Raw genomic sequence first — 18,187 nt, forward strand, 5'->3', positions numbered from 1 at the left:
AACCCCGTCTCTACTAAAAATACAAAAAATTAGCCAGGCATGGTGGTGGGTGCCTGTAGTCCCAGCTACTTGGGAGGCTGAGGCAGAAGAATGGCATGAACCCGGGAGGTGGAGCTTGCAGTGAGCCAAGATCACACCACTGCACTCCAGCCTGGGCGACAAAGCGAGACTCCGTCTAAAAAAAAAAAAAAAAATAGAAAGGTGCCAAAAACAAAAAAAAATTATTTCGATTAATTATAAAGAGCCAAAAGAGCAACAAACAAGAAAAGGAAGGTTAAAATGTTGTCTTTACTGAAAATTCATTTTTCGTTATTGACAATTCATCAGTAATATTTATACACATGCATATCCGATACAAATGTGTAAGATAAAATTTTTGAGTAAACATTTTAAAGAGAAGACTAAGTTTATTTTCTATTAGGAAATTTCATATCTTTTAAGAGGAATGAAAACGCCTATGTTTATTTTTAAAAGTACACGTACGTACAGAAAAGGAGAGGAGAGAGAGCAGGGCTTGCAACAGTGCTGACAGTGGCCATCTCTGGGCAAAAGAAATGTGGACAGTTTTCATTTCAATTTTTTTACTTCCTCGAAGTTTAAAAAGCTCTATAATGAACATATATTACTCTTGGGCAAGAAGGGATTTTTTTTTTCCAGAAAAACACTAACAAGTGCTTTCTTTGTCTTTCCTCAAATTTTGTGCGTTTTTCTCATTGACAATGGATGGTTGGTTTTCAGAGATGACTTTGTCATGCTAGTAACAAGTTTTCTGGAGCTTTTTGAGATTAAGTTCACAACATTGCTGTAAGTCATGTTTGGAATCACTTTCTGCCCTTCCAGTTGTTGTAGAAAGCAAATCGCCACCCATGGCCCTTCTCTGCCTCCGGCTCCCCGACCACAGGTTGCAGAGAAGGATGGGGTGCATCTGTGCCCAGGTGTGTGCGATGCCTCACCACATGGAAGGACAGCCAGCTGGAGGCACAGGACATGCCTGAACTGTGCTGCAAACTAGAAGACACAAAATATCTGGGTTTTTATTCCAGAAAACTGTCACGGACACCTGTAATCAAGACCGGTATTTCTCTGTCCATTGTAGAAAGAGATCCAATCCTCTTAGTCCCAACTTAAACTAAGATTTTCACAATATCAAATTTTCATGGAAACTGCCTTCAGCATAATAAGTACAAGTAATTTATCTGATAAAAGAATGTCAACAGCAAGTACAGTATAATTTGTGTGGTGACAAATTGTACCCATCCTTTCCAGGAAGAAAGACACACTGCTGTGTGTGGAATGAATTGGGGCAAGGTCAAGTAGAAGCACTTGTGTTTAATATGCAGCTCCCAGAAACATCACTCTATCCTTTCAGAAGATAGATGCAAATTATAGCTAATAAAGTTATTATAAATAATTGCTGCTTCTCCTCTCCTGCATATTCAGTGAGTTTGGAATGGGAGGAGAGGCAGTTATGAATGAGACACCTATAAATTATGAATTAGGAGACATCTGATGTGGCACTTGTCATTGTCCCTAAATTCAGAGATGTATTTTCATAGATTAGCAATATCAGATATGACATCTGAGGTCAAATTGACTGAGAGATTTAGCCAGCCAGGGTGAGAAGTACAAGGTTGAGAATGTCTCTAAGATGCTCACACAGCACCCGCAGATATCTTCGGGAATGACAAGGAGAGGAAAAGGAGCAGGTGTTAATTTTTCACATAATAAGGGCTGGAACAAATAGCAGACATGAGTACTACGAAGGGGAAAATTAGTCACCCTGTAGTATTACGGGCACAAATATCTCACAATGAGGTGGGAGGATCCGAGGTCCTGACAATGTCTGTGGAGACCCTAACCTGTGTCAGGTCCTGAGCCAGGTGGGGAAGGCAGGAATTCGATTCCAGCAGCTTCTGCTGATAATCAAGGCACAATGCCAACAGGAAGCAAGCGACAGAGGCTTGCCCGGTGCTGTGGGGGGAAGGAGGGGTCCACCCGGCGTCAGAGACATGAGTACCAGGCAGCCCTCTTCCAGGAATAGTGTCCAGCCTGCGACTTGAAACCAACAGCCAGGGTCAGCAGGAGACCCAGGGCAGACAGAGTCTGAGTGGAGGCTGCACGGAACCGGGGCAGGTGACAAGCAGGTTTCCAGAGAGCAACCAGAGTCAGTCTCAGCTGCAGGGAGGGCAGCCTCGAGGGGAGGACCCGCGAAGGAGCAGAAACTGCGGGGGCAGCAGGGTTCAGCCCACTGGAGCGACAGCATGAGAAGGGGCGAAGGGGGCCGGGTCCAGCACGTGCCTTGCCCTGTGAGCTGGAGGGAGTAGGGCAGCATGGCCTCCGCTGAGTCAGGCACGGTGAGGGCACAGACCCAGGGAGGGGCCAGACGGGACTCACAATTAGGCCCACAGCCAGCAAGCCACGGACAGGACTCACATCCAGGTGTCTACAGTAGTCAAACTGTTGGAGGCTGAAAGTAGAGTGGTGATCACCAGCTGTGGGAGGGGGACTGGGAGTGTTGCCCGACAGGTAGAGGATTTCAGATTTGCAAGATCACAGAGAGAGATCTGCTGAACAACAATGTGAGCAGAGTCGACACCACTGCAGTGCACACTTAGCAAGAGCTGAGAAGGTACATTGCATGCCGTGTGTTTCTGACCACACACACACTAAGCGAGATTCAGGCCCAAGTCGACCTCCAAGTCCTTGCTCTTTCGCAGCAGCCGCTAGCCCTGTGATTGAGACCCAGCTCCTGCCTGCCGGGCCTCACGGGCCTCTGCCGTCAATCAAGTGATAAGATTTCTCAGAACCGCAGAAGCCCTAATCTGACCTGTTACTCTTCGACACCGTTTAATATAATGTTTTAGACGTGTTTGCCACTTTTTATATAAACGCTTATGAAAATCACGTAGAGACTGTTAACTAAGTAGACGCTCAGGTACACTCACCATTTTCAGCAAGATAAAAATGGCCAAGCGCGGGTCCCGCAGCTGCTAAGCCTGTTCTGTGTCCCGACCTCCTGAGAGAGTCCCCAGGCTTTGCCTTCCCGGCTTCCCGGGGTTGACCCCAAATTCATGTGTTCCTGGCGCTGGCCCCGTCTGTTAACTCCAGCTACGGGAGAGGCGCTCTGTGGCACTCCTGGAGCAAAAACATCCGGAAGTGGCCCAAATCCTGCGGAAGGTTTTCCGGGAGAATGGGAGGTGCTCGTGTCACAGGGCACCCGAACTCCCAAGGAGAAGATGAGGACTGGAGGAGGCCCTGGAGGCGACGTGCGCGCCCCGCGGTGGGGCCGTCTCTGTGCGGTGAGGCTCCCGCCTGTATCTCGCAGCGGGAGGTCATCGGGCAAGTGCGTTGCTGCGCTGCTGGAGAGAACGCTGGAAGAGGCGGGAATCGTGCCACGCCGGGGGGCGCCATCTTTGTAAGAGGTCAGGACCAAAGTGGGTCAGAACTCCGTTCCTACAGTGTACGTCGCATCTCCCTCTGGTAGGACCTGCTGTCTTAGTTTTCGTTTGTGGTTTGGTTTTGTTTTTCGGCCTAGAAGTTGGTGAGTGATGCTGTGTGATTCCAGCAGGAAGTCCCGGGTGCTGTCACCACGGTGGGCACCCAGCGGCCCCGGGCAGGGCTGACTGCATGAGTCACTGCCACCGCTGCTGTTTGTGGCACCCTGCCATGTGACCGTGATCTTCTGTGTCACATGACACAGGTTTTTTGTCTTTTCTCAAATTTTATGCCTTCTCATTGACAGTGGATGGTTGGTTTTCAGAGATGAATTTGTCAGGTAAGAAATTTTCTGAGGCTTTTTGAGATTAAGTTCATAACATTGCTGAAAGTAATGTTTGAAATCACTGTTTGCCCTTCCAGTTGACATAGAAAGCAAATCACCACCCGTGGCCCTTCTCTGCTGCCAGTTCCCCCACCATAGGCTGCAGAGAAGGCCAGGGGTGCATCTGTGCCCAGGTGTGTACAATCAAGCATACACTTCAAGGTGTTCCTTGAAACAGTCAAGAGAAGTCCTTTATGCCTCCCCGGGTTTTCTCGACTGTTTCAAGGTACACCTCAGAGTGGGGTGTACCGCCCAGGTTGGCCAAGATGCAATGGCCAGCCTTGACAGTCTCGGCCGTGGGCTTTTGAACTGAGCCGCATTAAATCCCAGCCGGTGCTGGAAGACACTCAGGCATCCCCACAGACTTTCATCAGACCTCCCAGGGCAGCCCCCAGCCCTTCCACATCCATTGGTCAGCTGTGGTCTGCGGGTCCTCCGGAGGGCAGGCAGTAGTCACAGCTGCAGTTGTGCCCCTTGGGACATCACGCTGGCCTTGGGCAGAGCCTCTGGGAGAAAGGGCCCCCAGGGCGCAGTCCTCAGTTGTGTTGCCTTGCTGCATTTCCTCAGAGCCCAGGGCGAGGCCACTCCAGACGCAGCTCTGCTCAGCACAGCTCCCGAGTCTCTGACGTTGGCCCTGGAAACGAGGACACGTCAGCCACGAGGACCTGGCTCTGTCTGTCCAGCTCCAGGTAGTTTAATTGCCGGAGCAAAAGCCCTCACTTGAGATTTTGGCCGATGGTCCCTCTGCCCTCTTCAGAGCTTAGGCGTGGGTTGGATGAGGGTGGGCTGTGGGCATGTCACAGATCCACTGGGCCAGGCTCTGAGCAGCCGCCCTCCGGGAACCAAGCCCCCCTTTCTGGGCTAAGCCCATGGTGATGATTTCCTTAGCTTCTTGTCCTAGGAGCCCCTCAGGTCTATGTTTTTGTAACAGCTTTTTTGAAATGCAACTCAAATGGCATAGCATTCACTCATTTAATGTGTACAATTCAGCAGGGTTTTTATGATTATTAATTTTTTGAGACAGAGTCTCTCTGTTGCCAAGGTTGGAGTGTAGTGGCATGATCAGAGCTCACTGCAGCCCCAACCTTCCAGGCTCAAGTGATCCTCCTGCCTCAGCCTCCCAAGTAGCCAGGACTACAGGCATGCATCAACACACCCAGCTAATTTACTTTCTTTTTTTTTGTAGAGACAGGGTCTTGCTATGTTGTCCAGGCTGGCCTCAAACTCCTGGCTTCAAGTGAGCCTCCAGCCTCAGCCTCCAAAAGTGCTGGGATTCCAGGCATGAGCTACCACGCTCGGCCACAATTCCACAGTATAGCACATTTTAGTATTTTCATCACTGCACCCAACTTTAGAACATTGCACCACTCCAAAAGGAAACTCATGCCCTTTAGCTGTCACCCTCACACCTCACACACACCTGTGTGTGTCCCTGGCCCCACACAGCCATTGATCTGCCTCTTTCTCTGTCTGTGGACTTTGCTATTCTGGCTCACATAAGACCTGGCCTTCTATGACTGTCTTTCTTCACTGAGCGTGTTCTCAAGGCTCATCCACAATGCAGCCTGTGTCAGCACATCAAGTTACCATGCAGTATTTCATTTTATCACAATTAGTTTATTCTTTCATGAGTAAATAGGCATCTGGGTTATTTCCACCTTTTAGCTATCATGAATAGTGTGGCTATGAACATTCGTACACAAGCTTTTGGCAAATTTTCATTTCTTGGAAGTTACATGGAATGCATGGAGCTGCTGGGTGAGATGGCTGCTTCCTGCTTCATCTCTTGAGAAATTGCTGCCTGGTTTTCCACAGCGGCTGCACCATTTCCCTCCGTTCTCTTGTAAAGCAGCTTCTTGTGGTCTCTTTTACCAGCACTGTAGAAATGTCCAGGCGTATTGAAGTCCCACTAAAGCTGAAACTGGAGATGTTGCTTTAATTATACTCACACAAGCTAGGCACAGTGGCTGGCACTATGCCAGCTACTCAGGAGGCTCAGGCAGAAGGATTGCTTGAGCCCGAGAGGTAGAGGCCGCAGTGAGCCATGATTGTACCACTGCACTCCAGCCTGGGCAACAGAGCAAGACCCTGTCTCAAAAAATAATAAATAAATAAATAAATAAATAAAGCAGAACACCTAAGCAAGAGAATCAGAGTCTGCCTTTAAAAAAATTTATACTAGCTGACTGGGCGCGGTGGCTCACACCTGTAATCCCAGCACTTTGGGAGGCCGAGGTGGGCGGATCACGAGGTCAGGAGTTCGAGACCAGTATGCCCAACATAGTTAAACCCTGTCTCTACTAAAAATACAAAAATTAGCCGAGTGTGGTGGTGTGTGCCTATAATCCCAGCTACTCAGGAGGCTGAGGCAGGAGACTCGCATGAACCTGGGAGGCGGAGGTTGCAGTGAGCCAAGATCGTGCCACTGCACTCCAGCTGGGTGACAGAACGAGACTCCGTCTCAAAAAACAAACCAAACCAAACCAAACAAAACCAAACAAAACAAATTTATACTAGGGTCCAGGCGTGGTGGCTCACGCCTGTAAGCCCAGCACTTTGGGAGGCCGAGGCGGGCGGATCACAAGGTCAGGAGTTCGAGACCAGTCTGGCCAACCTAGTGAAACCCCGTCTCTACTAAAAATACAAAAATTAGCCAGGCGTGGTGGTGCATGCCTGTAATCCCAGCTACTCAGGAGGCTGAGGCAGAAGAATCACTTGAACCCAGGAGGTGGAGGTTGCAGTGAGCCGAGACTGTGCCACTGCACTCCAGCCTGGGCAACAGAGTGAGACTCTTATCTCAAAAAAAAAAAAATTATACTAACACTTACATGGTATTTTTATAATGTTTTTTCTATAATTCCTTTCTGTCTAGTCATTTATTTTCTTCACAAAATATCTGTGTGCTTGGATACCGTTATCTGTATATGAAATAATGAAACAGAAGGTTTTAGAGTTTTGACCAAGTCACATAACAAATATCTAAACCGAAGAGTTGCACCAGGTTTCCAACCCAAATTTCAGTGTGCAATTTAAAGTAATAACAGAGGCTGGGTGTGGTGGCTCACACCTGTAATCCCAGAGCTTTGGGAGGCCAAGGTGGGCAGATCACTTGAGGTCTGGAGTTCGAGACCAGCCTGGCCAATATGGCAAAACCCCATATCTACCACAAATACAAAACATAAAAATAAAAAATTTGCCAGGTGTGTTGGCATGCACCTGTAATCCCAGTTAGTCAGAAGGCTGAGGTAGGAGAATTGCTTGAACTGGGAAGTGGAGGTTGCAGTGAGCCAAGATCACACCACTGCACTCTAGCCTGACCAACAGAGCAAGACTCCATCTCAAAAATAAATAAATAAATAAATAGCATAAAGTAATGACAGAGTAGGGGAAAGGGAGATTAAAAAGAAGCATATGAATGTATTTATTACCACTGAACTGCACACTTAAAAATAGTAAAGATGGTAAATTTTACATGTATATTTTACCTCAATTTTTTTAAGTATAAAAAGTTTTAAATTAAAAAAAAAATTGTGGCTGGGCTTCGTGGCCCACACCTGTAATCCCAGCACTTTGGGAGGCCGAGGAGGATGGATCGCCTGAGCTCACGAGTCTGAGACCAGCCTGGGCAACATGGTGAATCCCCCATCTCTACAAAAAATACAAAAATGAGCCAGGTGTGGTGGTGCTTGCCTGTAGTACCAGCTACTTAGGAGGTTGAGGTGGGAGAATGATTTGAGCTCAGGAGGCAGAGGTTGCAGTGAGCCAAGATCACACCACTGCGCTCCAGCCTGGGTGATAGAGCCGGACCTTGTCTCAAACAACAACAACGACAGCAACAACAAACTTAAAAAAAGGACATAAAATGAAAGTGCATTCATGGATGAATCTAAAATGAAATCTGCATTCAAAGAGACTGAAAAATAATAATAAAGTAATGGCAGGGGTGGCAGTGGTTGGGTGGCATATTGAGGATGGAGCTTTGTGCTTTGGAGCTGCGGAGGGCCAGGGGCCACACGGGGCATGCAGCGCCGGCAGTGACAGCAGGTGGGTGCGTGCTGCGGAGAGCACCACAGCACTCAGGCAGGATCCTGGGGGTGCAGCAAGGACTGTGGATGCACCTCAGTGTTTCTTACAGTGTCGTACTCTGCACATAATAGAAATTCAAAAATATTCTTTGATGGACTTGTTCCAAACATCCAGGAAACGACTCCCCTGCTGCTTTTGGCTGAGGCTGCCAGGGCACACGCACAGGTTGTCTTGCAGAAGGGCAGGGTGTCTAGTTGAAGACGGGGTGTCGGATGAGTGCATTAGGCTCCATCCACCCATAGCCCAACTTCAATGAGAATAAAGGGATTGTTTGAGGGGCATAAACCTACCAAGGAGAAGAGAATGGGAGAAGACAAACAGCAACAGAAGTTTGGAAGATGAAGTGCAGGTAGATAAGCAGAGATGACCCACAGGACGGAGGAGGCTGAATTCTAAGTCAGCCCTGCAAAAGCCAAGGGACAACCCCAGTGACACCACAGGACACCCCCAAAGGCTTAGAATCGGAGGCACTGGCACCATTAAAAGTGAGGATGAAGGTGACACCCAAAAACAGAAGAATCCCTTGAAAATCTGTTTTTTTTTTTAAGAAAATCAGACCAGCAGACCCCTCTCCAGCAACCGGACATTAGACTCTAGGGACGCCCCTTGCGTGTAGGTAGGTGCATGGCCTGCACTGCGTGCACGTTCACATGCTGGGTTCTTCCCCCAAAGGGAACCTAAAGGGCAGAGTTGGAGAACCCGTCCCTATCCTGCTTTCATCGGGGGATGCAGACGTTGGAGTTTTCCTAAGAAAACAACTCAGCTCAATCATTCATCCCACGTCGAAGATCAGAGTCCACAGGCCCCCGTCACCCCCTCGGCCTTCAACCAGCTTTTGGGAGTCCTACTCTAAAATGTGAGCAGACAGCAAAGACAGGCAGATGCAGGGAGGAGCCCTCTGCCACGCAGAGAGAGGCCACGGTGAACAAACTGCTCAAACAGCTCTGAGGACATGGAGGCTCCTCGGAAGGTAACAACTGAAAACCATCACTAGTATCTGGAGACATGAGAGAGAAAAGTGCATCAATGAGCTGAAAGCAGATTGCTCTGAGAACCATCAGAGAACCAAAATGCTTTCGGAAATAAGACCATGTTAGGAAAACCTCGAAAGACTCTGCAGTGCAGGAGGAAGTGAATGGGAGGACAGAGGAAATGCTGGCGATCAAGAGCTTACAAATACCAAGCTTGGTGGAAGGCGCATTACAGCATTCTCTTGACTTTTGCACATGTTTAAATAAATCGTTTATTTCCCATAATATAAAAGTTCTAAACAATATGATAGCAAAACTGAAAACCTCAATAAAAGTGCCAAACTATAAAAGTAAGTAAGAAAAATAGATAATCCAAGAGGTAATAAGAATTCCAGAAAAATGGAATACAAAGGCAGATATATCAATCAGAATGTGATTGGAGAAACAGAACTGCTACTAGTGAAATAGAATAAGGAGTTTATTTTAGGTTTTGGACCTCACATGACTGTGAGAGCTGGGGGAGCTGTGTGAAGCCCTGAATGGCAGTCAGGCCAGAAGTTACCATGGCTCAGCCACCCAGGGAGGGTTAGGTGAACAGGTACAGACAAGAGCAAACATGGCTGAAACCCACGAGGGGACCCTATGAAGACAGCCCGACTCTCAGCACAAACCGGAACCCAAGTCTATCTCTCACCGCCTCCAAGTCAATGCTGTGGGAACTCCTTCTCCACAGACCCACAATGCACTTGGATCAGGATTCCAAGAAGGTGCAGGAGAGGACCTGGTGGCAGCCAGGGGGCTGTGAGGCTGTGAGCTGCCCAGCCAAGGTCAACGATTGCAAGCTGCCAGGGCACCCAGCACTGACCTTCTGGACACAAAAATAAGGTTCTTGTTTCCCTTCTGCCTTCTCAATCCTTCTCAAAATGTCTGTGGCCAATTCCAACCCAGACCACATAGGGAAGGGAACTCAGGGAAGTTTCTCCCCTACTGAATCAAGCTGGTTAGGTACAAGGTCAGCACAGCCGCTCCTGTTGGCCATGCACTCCACACCCCTTGAACCACACTTAACTTTCAGGGAAAGGTAGTAACAAAATCACGCTTTCATCCAGTATGGCTTGTAGTAATCACCTGTACAACCAATGATGGACCAACTTGTTCCCCAAAGGGGTTGTAACGTCCCCTTTACATCTTTCGAGATGTTTGTTCTCTTTCTGACTGAGTCAGCCCTCTGATACCCTAAAACTTAAACACTGAGACAGCAGGATAACTACCACTGACACATCTTATATCATGGAAGAGGAGAGGAAGAAAACGTTATGTCCGTAACTATTCCTGCCTTTGTTTCAGTGACCGTTGGAGCTGGCATTCATGACCGCATTCTCTTGCCATCCATCGCTAACCCTCTGCTCTCAGCAAGTACCCTGCAGTTTATGTTCCTTGCCTGGTGGGGTGACCCAAACCTTTATTCCGGAAGGGTCTGAGCCATTCGCATTCCTGCCTGTATTCTAGAATATTCTTCCCTGCCCTCATTGTTTAGAAGCAACCTAATTTCCCCTGGATAGTTGGGGCTAAGCATTCCAGCCAGTACAGTGACCCCCTTCTTTGCTGGTTCAAGCTCCCCTGACAGGAAGTGCTCAGAGTGCTAATGGGGTTGACTCCACTGCCAGCCCAGTGAACCAGTCCTGTGGGGGTATGTCCTGAGATGGGAGCATCCCGCCAGGGAGCTAAGACCTCAGATCAGCAGATCCTAAAGTTTCAGGGACAGGAAGAACATGTGTCAGTAGCAGAGCTCAGGGAGAAATCATGGGAGAAGTCATTCTAATTCCAGCCCATGAACCCTGGTTGTGGAAAAATAGAACCACACACTGGCCACCGAGCGGAGCATTTGCACCCTGCCTCCTGGGGAGTAAGATTCCCACCCAGCAAGGCGCTTGTGTCTTCAAAAGGCCATTTCACCCTTTCATCAAGCCAGCTCCTTCACAGTGCGGGGGGACCTGGCAATCCCAGCATATTCAGGTCCCCAGGCTTCTATAGAAAGTCACCACAGACTAGGTGGCCTAAACAACATGAATTTATTCCCCCACTGTTCTGGGGGCCAGGAGTCTTCAGTCAAGTTGTTAGCAGGGCCATGCTCCTTTCCCAGGCTCTAGGGAGGACCCTTCCTGCCTCCTCCAGTGCCGTGTGGCTCCAGGTGCTCCTTGGCTTGTGCCTGGCCATGACAATCTCTGCCTCTGTTGCCACGTGGCTGTCTCCTCTGTGTTGCTCTTATAAGGACACTTGTCATTGCATTTAGGGCCCACATGGTAATGCAGGATCGTCACATTCTGAGATCCTTAACTGCATGTGTACAGTTCTGTTTTCCACATAAGGTCACATTCAAGGTTCCAGGGGTTAGGACATGAACATATGTTTCAGATGCCATCATTCAACTCACTTCACTCAGCAAATTCCATGGGTATAATCCAGGGAGACTGTATAAAATCAGTCTCTTGGATAGAAGCAATGCTGTAGAGAACACCATTCTCTGTGTCCAGGGGTGGTGACTTGGACTGAAATATCAAAGCTGGGGAAGGCAAATCATGTCCAGAGTGCTGTGGTCTGAATGTCCCTGAAATTCACGTGTTGAGACATAATCATCATTGTGATCATAGGAAGAGGTGAGCTTTTAGGAGGTGAATAAGTCATGGCGATGGAGCCCTCGTGGGTGGGATGAGGGCCTTATAGAAGGGCTCAGGGATGAGTTTTCTCTGCTGACTCTCCCACCACGTGAGGGCACAGCACTCATCCTCTTTGCCTTTTTGGCCCCTCCTGACAGACAAGGCTGCAAAAAGGCCCTCACCAGGCACCAGATGCCAGTGGCTTGGTCTTGGACTTCCCAGCCATCAGAGTTGGAAATACATTTCTGTTCCTCATTAGTTACCCAGTGTGTGGCATTTTGTTATAGCAGCACAAACAAAAGAAGACACCCACCGGATTAGATTCTGGGTTTGGTTTCCAGAACTCTCAGCCTTGTGGCTACAGGGGTGAGGGTTTCTTTATTATTAATCTTTATCTTTAGAGACAGGACCTCACTCTGCCACCCACGCTGGAGTGCAGTGGCATAATCACAGCTCACTGCAGCCTCCAACTCCTGGGCTCAAAGGATCCCTCTGCCTCAGGAGGACCTGTAGCTGGGACTACAGGCGAGTGCCACCATACCTGGCTAATTATTTTTTGTAGAAATGAGGTCTCACTCTGTTGCTCACTCTGGTCTGAAACTCCTGGCCTTGAGCAACCCTTCTGCTGTGGCCACCCAAAGTGCTGGGGTCACAGGCGTGAGCCGTCACTCCTGGCTATGTGGGTTTCTTTTAAGGACTCACAGACACTTTCTGGTCACTTACAAGGACCTTAAGCTGGAAATTTGGAATTCTGAGACCACCATTTTCTCTTCCCAATTTTTCCAGTGCTCACAGAAGCAAGCAAGCAACCCTAGTGTATCAATTATTTTTGCAAACAAAATCTGTGGCCATAACTGCTTGTTCACCCACACCCTTGCCTCCTACAGGCACTTGACTAGAGGCATTTACAAATTTGCTTTGAAGAAACAGTTTGGCTGTCACATGCCATGCGCAACCAGTGTTCCATTCACCGTTGTCAACAAAGTCGTTAGTACTTGAAAATCGAACCAGAGAAGACCAGTTCTCAAGAACATGGCACTCATCCAGGAGCCTGTCCCAAGGCTCTGCTCCTCCATGCCCCTTTCAGGACCAGTCTCAGGTGAGGCTGGAGAGGCGGAGCTGCTCTATGGGTGCAGAGCAGGGGTGGGTTATGGGAGTAGACCTTGCACAACTGTGGGGGCTGGGGGCCACTGTGGTCCTGAATGCGGTGGTCAGGAGATGGCTGGCTGTGGACTCGGCAGGACAAGCTGGTCAGGAGACGGCTGGCTGTGGACTCAGCAGGACAAATTGAGATCTGGTGCCCACAGGGCAAAGGAGAGCCTGTGCCTTGTCAGGCCACCTCCAACCTCAAGCCTGTGTATGGCTGGCAGGAAGGGCTGGGCCCTTCGGAGCTGCACACTCTGGTCCAGGACATGGGCATTGGAAGGTCTGGCAGGGGCTGGGGAAGCTGTGGTCCAGGTCATGCCCACCCCACACCCACACTGTGGAGCCTTCTTAGCTCCAAAGTGCTCAGTGCCCCCATATTGGTCCTTTTTTTTTTCTTTGGTGCTGGTGGTGTGGGTGGTATGTATTTAATTAGATAATACATGACCTTTCAAAGGAATCAATGCAGCCTGTATGTAAGCAAGGAAATAAACAAACCCACCATCCTATTTACAAACTAGAAAATTAGCTGGGTACAATGGTGCATGCCTATCATCCTGGCTACTCCTTTGAGCCCGGGAGTTCAAGACCAGCCTGGGTGGTGTAGAAAGACCCTGTCTCCATTTAAAAAAAAAAAAACCTAGACAATTACTAGTGCTCTCTGGTGTGTCCCCCCAACCCGCAGAGATGACTACTATCTTTACTTTTGTGCTAGTTGTTTTCTTCCTTTTTCTTTTTCTAAAAATTGTGGTAAAATAGACATAACATGAAATTCACTGGTTTAGCCATTTGTAAGTGGACAGTTCCATGGCATTAAGCATACAATGTTGTGCAGCCATCACCACCATCATCTCCAGAACCCTTCCATCTGCCCAAACTGAAGCTCTGTCCTCATTCAGCACTGACTCCCCAACCCCCACCCCCACCCCCTGGCCCCAACCATTTCACTTTCTGTTTCTAGGAATTGGACTCCTCTACGGACCACCTACAATAGAATACTGCAATATTTGCCCTTCTGTGTCTAGCTTATTGCACAGCATAATGTTTCCAAAATGTATTGATTTCAGGGTGTAAAGACTATGGCCCCAGTTTCACTTCGGCTTTTGAGAGTTCATGCAAAATGTCTTTGTGGCCTGTGCTGACCCAGAGCCATAAGGGGAAGGATTTGCCAAGCAGCTGAAGCTTAGCTATGTTAATACATACAAATCCATCACCAAAGGAAGGAAACTATTAGAGCAATAACTTTAAAAAATGTCCCAGGACTGAAGGACACTAGTGTCTTATCAGAAGGGGCCCACCAAATGCCAAGTAAAATGGATAAAATTATACCCTCAAGAAAAATTGGCCGGATGCGGTGGCTCATGCTTGTAATCCCAGCACTTTGGGAGTCTGAGGCAGGAGATTCTTTTAGCTCAGGAGTCGGAGACCAGCCTGACCAACATGATCAAACTCCGTCTCTACTAAAAATACAGAAAATTAGCCAGGCGAGGCATGGTGGCACATACCTGTAATCCCAGCTACTTGGGAGGCTGAGGCAGGAGAATTGTTTGAAACCGGGAGGCAGAAGTTGCAGTGAGCCAAGATCGGACTCCGTCTCCAAAAAAAAAAAAAAAAAAAAAAAAGCCCAGTGGCACACACTTGTCATCCCAACTATTTGGGGTGGGGGGAAGATTGCTAATCATGCCACTGCACCCTGGCTTGGGTGAGAGAGTGAGACCCTGTCTCAAAATAAATAAATAATGAAAATTACAAACAGAAAAATAATGATGAAATTTCAGGACAAAGGCAAGTCCATAAAAGCTTCCAGAGAAAGAGCAATTTTCATACAAGGCTAAGGATTTCATGTAAGGGACTTCATTCCATATAAAGACTCAACTGCAAAGCTAGGCTCTAGAAAAACATGGAGCAGGGTCTTCAAAATCCTGAAGACAAGTATTTCCAACCTGGAATTTCATACCAGTTAAGGTGAAGGTGTAGAGACGCTTTCAGAGGTGTGAGGTCTAGAAACCTTTTCCTGTCATGAGCCCTTCTCAGGAAACTGCTAGGGGAGAAAACAAGGGAGTAGACTGCCAAGAGGGAAAAGGTTTCAGGACCAGGAAGAAGGTCAGCAGGAGAGCAGCCACTGCATCTCCATATGGCGGTTGGGCCGGGGTCCCCAGGACCACCTCAGGCTTGATGGTTCACGAGAAGGACTCCCAGGACTCAGCACATGATCTAACTCCCGCCCACCCACTAGAGCGACCGAGTGTCCGGCACAGCCGGTCAAGGGAAAAGGTGTGTGAGGTGAGGTCAGAAGAAGGCAGGCACCGTCTCCAGCACCCTCTCCCACTGGACCCACTGGACTCACTGGACCTGCGAATTCTCTCAGCAAAGAGCGGCAACACGTGTGAAGTGTTGTCCACCAGGGCAGCTCCTTAGACCCCCCAGGGCTTCTGCTGGGGGTCTCACACAGGCACCCTCTTCTTGGCGTGCACCAAGATTCCAGAATTCGAGAAGGAATGCAGGTGTTCAGGAAAAACGCCTCGGGCATGGAGAGGCACTGTCAGGTTGCTGGGAGCCCTCCTGAAATCCGAGTCCCCAGAGGCCAGCCCAGGGTCAGCCTGGTAAGCAGACCCTATAGAGGATGGCAGTCAGGCCTGCTTGTTAACTCTTTTCTGCATCATCCTTTGAAGGGAGAAGTCAAAAAGAGCAGCTGATCAAGAGTTAGCCCAACAGACCTCAGGTGCCGAGGGGAGCAGCTGCAGCCGTCCCTGCGTCCAGATGAGAGAGAGCCAGGGGTAAATTGCCGGGTAGGCAGACTATTTGGCCTCTTTTACTTCAATAGTGAGAGGCAGCCATCTCCTCCTCCAAATCACAGCAATGGAAGAACCCAGCAACACCAAAGATGGCTCCTCTGCTGTAGGCTGGAGCTGGGCCCGTTAACTATCAAGGTTTTCCTTTTGCTTTCATCTGGAAGATCTGGAAGGCACATATGTTTTTTTTTTTCCTTTCCAATTTTTATTTTAGGTTCGGGGGTACATGGGCAGGTTTGTTATGTGGGTAAATTGTGTGTTGCAGGGGCTTGGTGTACGGACTATTTCATCACCCAGGTAAGCAGCACGGTATGGGATCCTCATCTTCATCCCACCCCCACCCTCAGGTAGGCCCCAGGGTCTACTGTCTCCTCCGTGTGTCCATGTGTACTCAGTGTTTGCCTTCCAGTTATAAGTGAGAACACGCGGTGTTTCGTTTTCTCTTCTCGCATTAGTTCACTTAGAATAATGACCTCCAGCTTCACCCACGTGTCTACAAAAGACATGGCTTCATTCTTTATTATGGCTGTGTAGTATTCCATGGTGTATATGGACCACATTTTCCTTATCCAATTTACCACTGATGGGCATTTAGGTTCCTTTCATGTGTTTGCTATTGCCACATATGCTTTAATATTGACTCTCTCTTTACATATTTATGTAATGTATGTATAAAATATAGTAAAATCTCATTTTATATAACTCTCTTAATGGAAATGCAATTTTTACAAAATAAATTCTTATTTCCATTTTTCCAAAATAAACTATTTTACATATCTCAACATAAAATTATCATATGGTAGTACTTGTTATTACACCTTCTCTTTGGAATTTTCAAGATAATTTTTGCATTACTATTAAAAACATCCTGCATGATATCTTCTGGGCTTCCACTAAGAATTTGGAAGTAATTATCTTCATCTACCTGAAGTGGTAGAGACATAAATGAAACTTTAACAACAGAATATACTTCCTTTAGGAGCTGTATGAAGAGATTTTCCGTTTCTGTCATTGTTGAGACTGTGGTTGTGCCAAGAAAGAAATTCTTAAGCATTAAGTTTAAGGAGGTGAGACCTTGTCAGCCACACAGTGGGCAATACAGAAGAGCCTCATCCATCCCAACCCCAACCAACCATAGCCAGACCCCAAAGAGTGAGATTTTAGTCCAGTTTATTTATTCTTTACCAACCTTTGAAACTTCCATGACAAGCTATTAATTACGTTTTTTTCTCTTGTGACAGTAATTTAAACATCTGTGGTTCATTACAAAGCAGTAATTGAGGGAATGTTTAAAGGAAACTATGAGCCACTAAATACATTCATCTAAATGCATTTCACCTGATGCCAAACAACAGCAAGCCCCTCTCAAGTTCCCAGGCTTTGTGGGGTATGACCAAAGCTCCTCGTGCAGTCTACGTGCCATGTGTGCATGCACACACACGTATTTGCCCCTGACTTAAGTTTTTCTTTCTGGAAATCAGAAGCTAGGATATATTACGAGACAAAAATATTTTGGTTTTTAATTATTAACTTGCTATAATTAATATGAAAGCATTGTGTGGTAAATTGAATAAAAATCTCAGTATTGTGGCTGCATTTTCCTCCTTTTATTACTGATCAAGGCATCATCAACCTTGAAGGGGCACTTAATCGTCCTCTTCTGAAGACACATCTATGCAGTGGGTGAAATATGATGTTGGACATCCTGTGTTTTGGTCTATGCTGGAATGTTCTGAATTCAGATATATGGTAGACAGGAGTAGGAGTAAAGTTGATTTTTGTTCACTAACTCCACATCTTCCATCCCCTGACTACTGCGAGAGAGAATGCATTTCTCTCCAGGGAGAATCCCATGAGAGCAAAGTGAGGAAAGCATCGGTAGGAAATAACGAACGCTGAAATCAGCCTTTTACAAATGTATTTAAAGACAGCTCTTACAAGGTTCCTCTTTCATGGTAGTGTTTGATTTTTAAGTGTGCATTACAAGAGCAGTCTCTCAACTTTTTTGCACATTGACCCCTAAAATAATTTTGGGAAAGTATGTATCCCTTCACACATTATATGTGGACAACTAAACATTTTCGTTATAGGTATAGTTATCAATCATGTATTTTTGGCATATCATAAAGTATTGACATTTAAAAATAAAACATCGTCTTTTCAAACATGTTAAATGACATTGAAATTCCACAATAATGTGATACTTGCTCTTATCCATAAAGAATACTTAAAAAGCTCCTCTTTAACATGTGAAAACTTATGTCTTTTTGCTAAAATATAATTTTCTTTTCTTTTTTTATTTTTTGAGACAGGATCTCCCTCTGTCACCCAGGCTGGGGTACAGAGGTGTGATCTTGCCTCAGTGTAACCTCAACCTCCTGGGCCCAGGTGATCCTCCCACCTCAGCCTCCTGAGTAGCTGGGACCACAGGCCTGTGCCACCAAGCCCAGCTAATTTTTTGTATGTTTGCAGAGACAGGGTTTCACTATGCTGCCCAGGCTGGTCTCAGATTCCTGAGCCCAAGCAACCTGCCTGTCTCGGTCTCCCAAAGTGCTGGGATTACAGGCATGAACCACTGTGCTTGGCCTAAAGTATAATTTTCAAAGAGGTAAAATTACAATGCTCATGCAAGATTTTATTCAACTTATTAATCAATGAAGGAAGATATAATGAGTAAGATGTAGAACTGGTTCAAAGAGTATTTTAGGACCTAGAGAT

General features: G+C 47.2%; 1 long non-coding RNA gene across 2 annotated transcripts in view, besides 2 other annotated features; it reads right to left on the reverse strand.

Annotated features, from left to right (window-relative positions):
• Positions 1-18,187, reverse strand: part of LOC105372225 (uncharacterized) — a 62,644-nt gene that overhangs the window by 43,022 nt on the left and 1,435 nt on the right. Inside the window, exon 1 of one of the 2 annotated variants that reach the window (XR_001753513.2) lies at positions 2,946-3,128. The exons of the other annotated variant lie outside the window; for it this stretch is intronic. This is a non-coding gene — a long non-coding RNA (uncharacterized LOC105372225). Of the gene's footprint in view, positions 1-2,945; positions 3,129-18,187 lie in introns of those variants that run through there. 2 annotated transcript variants of the gene reach the window in all.
• Positions 12,501-12,674: a silencer, noted in NCBI's record as "fragment chr18:76816919-76817092 (GRCh37/hg19 assembly coordinates)". NCBI's record gives its function as "represses an EF-1alpha promoter that drives an FKBP-Casp9 reporter gene in an ReSE screen in HepG2 liver carcinoma cells {active_cell/tissue: HepG2}" and the evidence as "EXISTENCE:reporter gene assay evidence [ECO:0000049][PMID:32094911]".
• Positions 15,053-15,552: an enhancer, noted in NCBI's record as "H3K4me1 hESC enhancer chr18:76819471-76819970 (GRCh37/hg19 assembly coordinates)". NCBI's record gives its function as "activates a minimal SCP1, AML or CMV promoter by ChIP-STARR-seq in naive H9 embryonic stem cells {active_cell/tissue: H9 hESC(naive)}" and the evidence as "EXISTENCE:reporter gene assay evidence [ECO:0000049][PMID:30033119]".

The sequence above is a fragment of the Homo sapiens genome, chromosome 18, assembly GCF_000001405.40.
Source record: "Homo sapiens chromosome 18, GRCh38.p14 Primary Assembly".
Taxonomy (NCBI): Eukaryota; Metazoa; Chordata; class Mammalia; order Primates; family Hominidae; genus Homo; species Homo sapiens.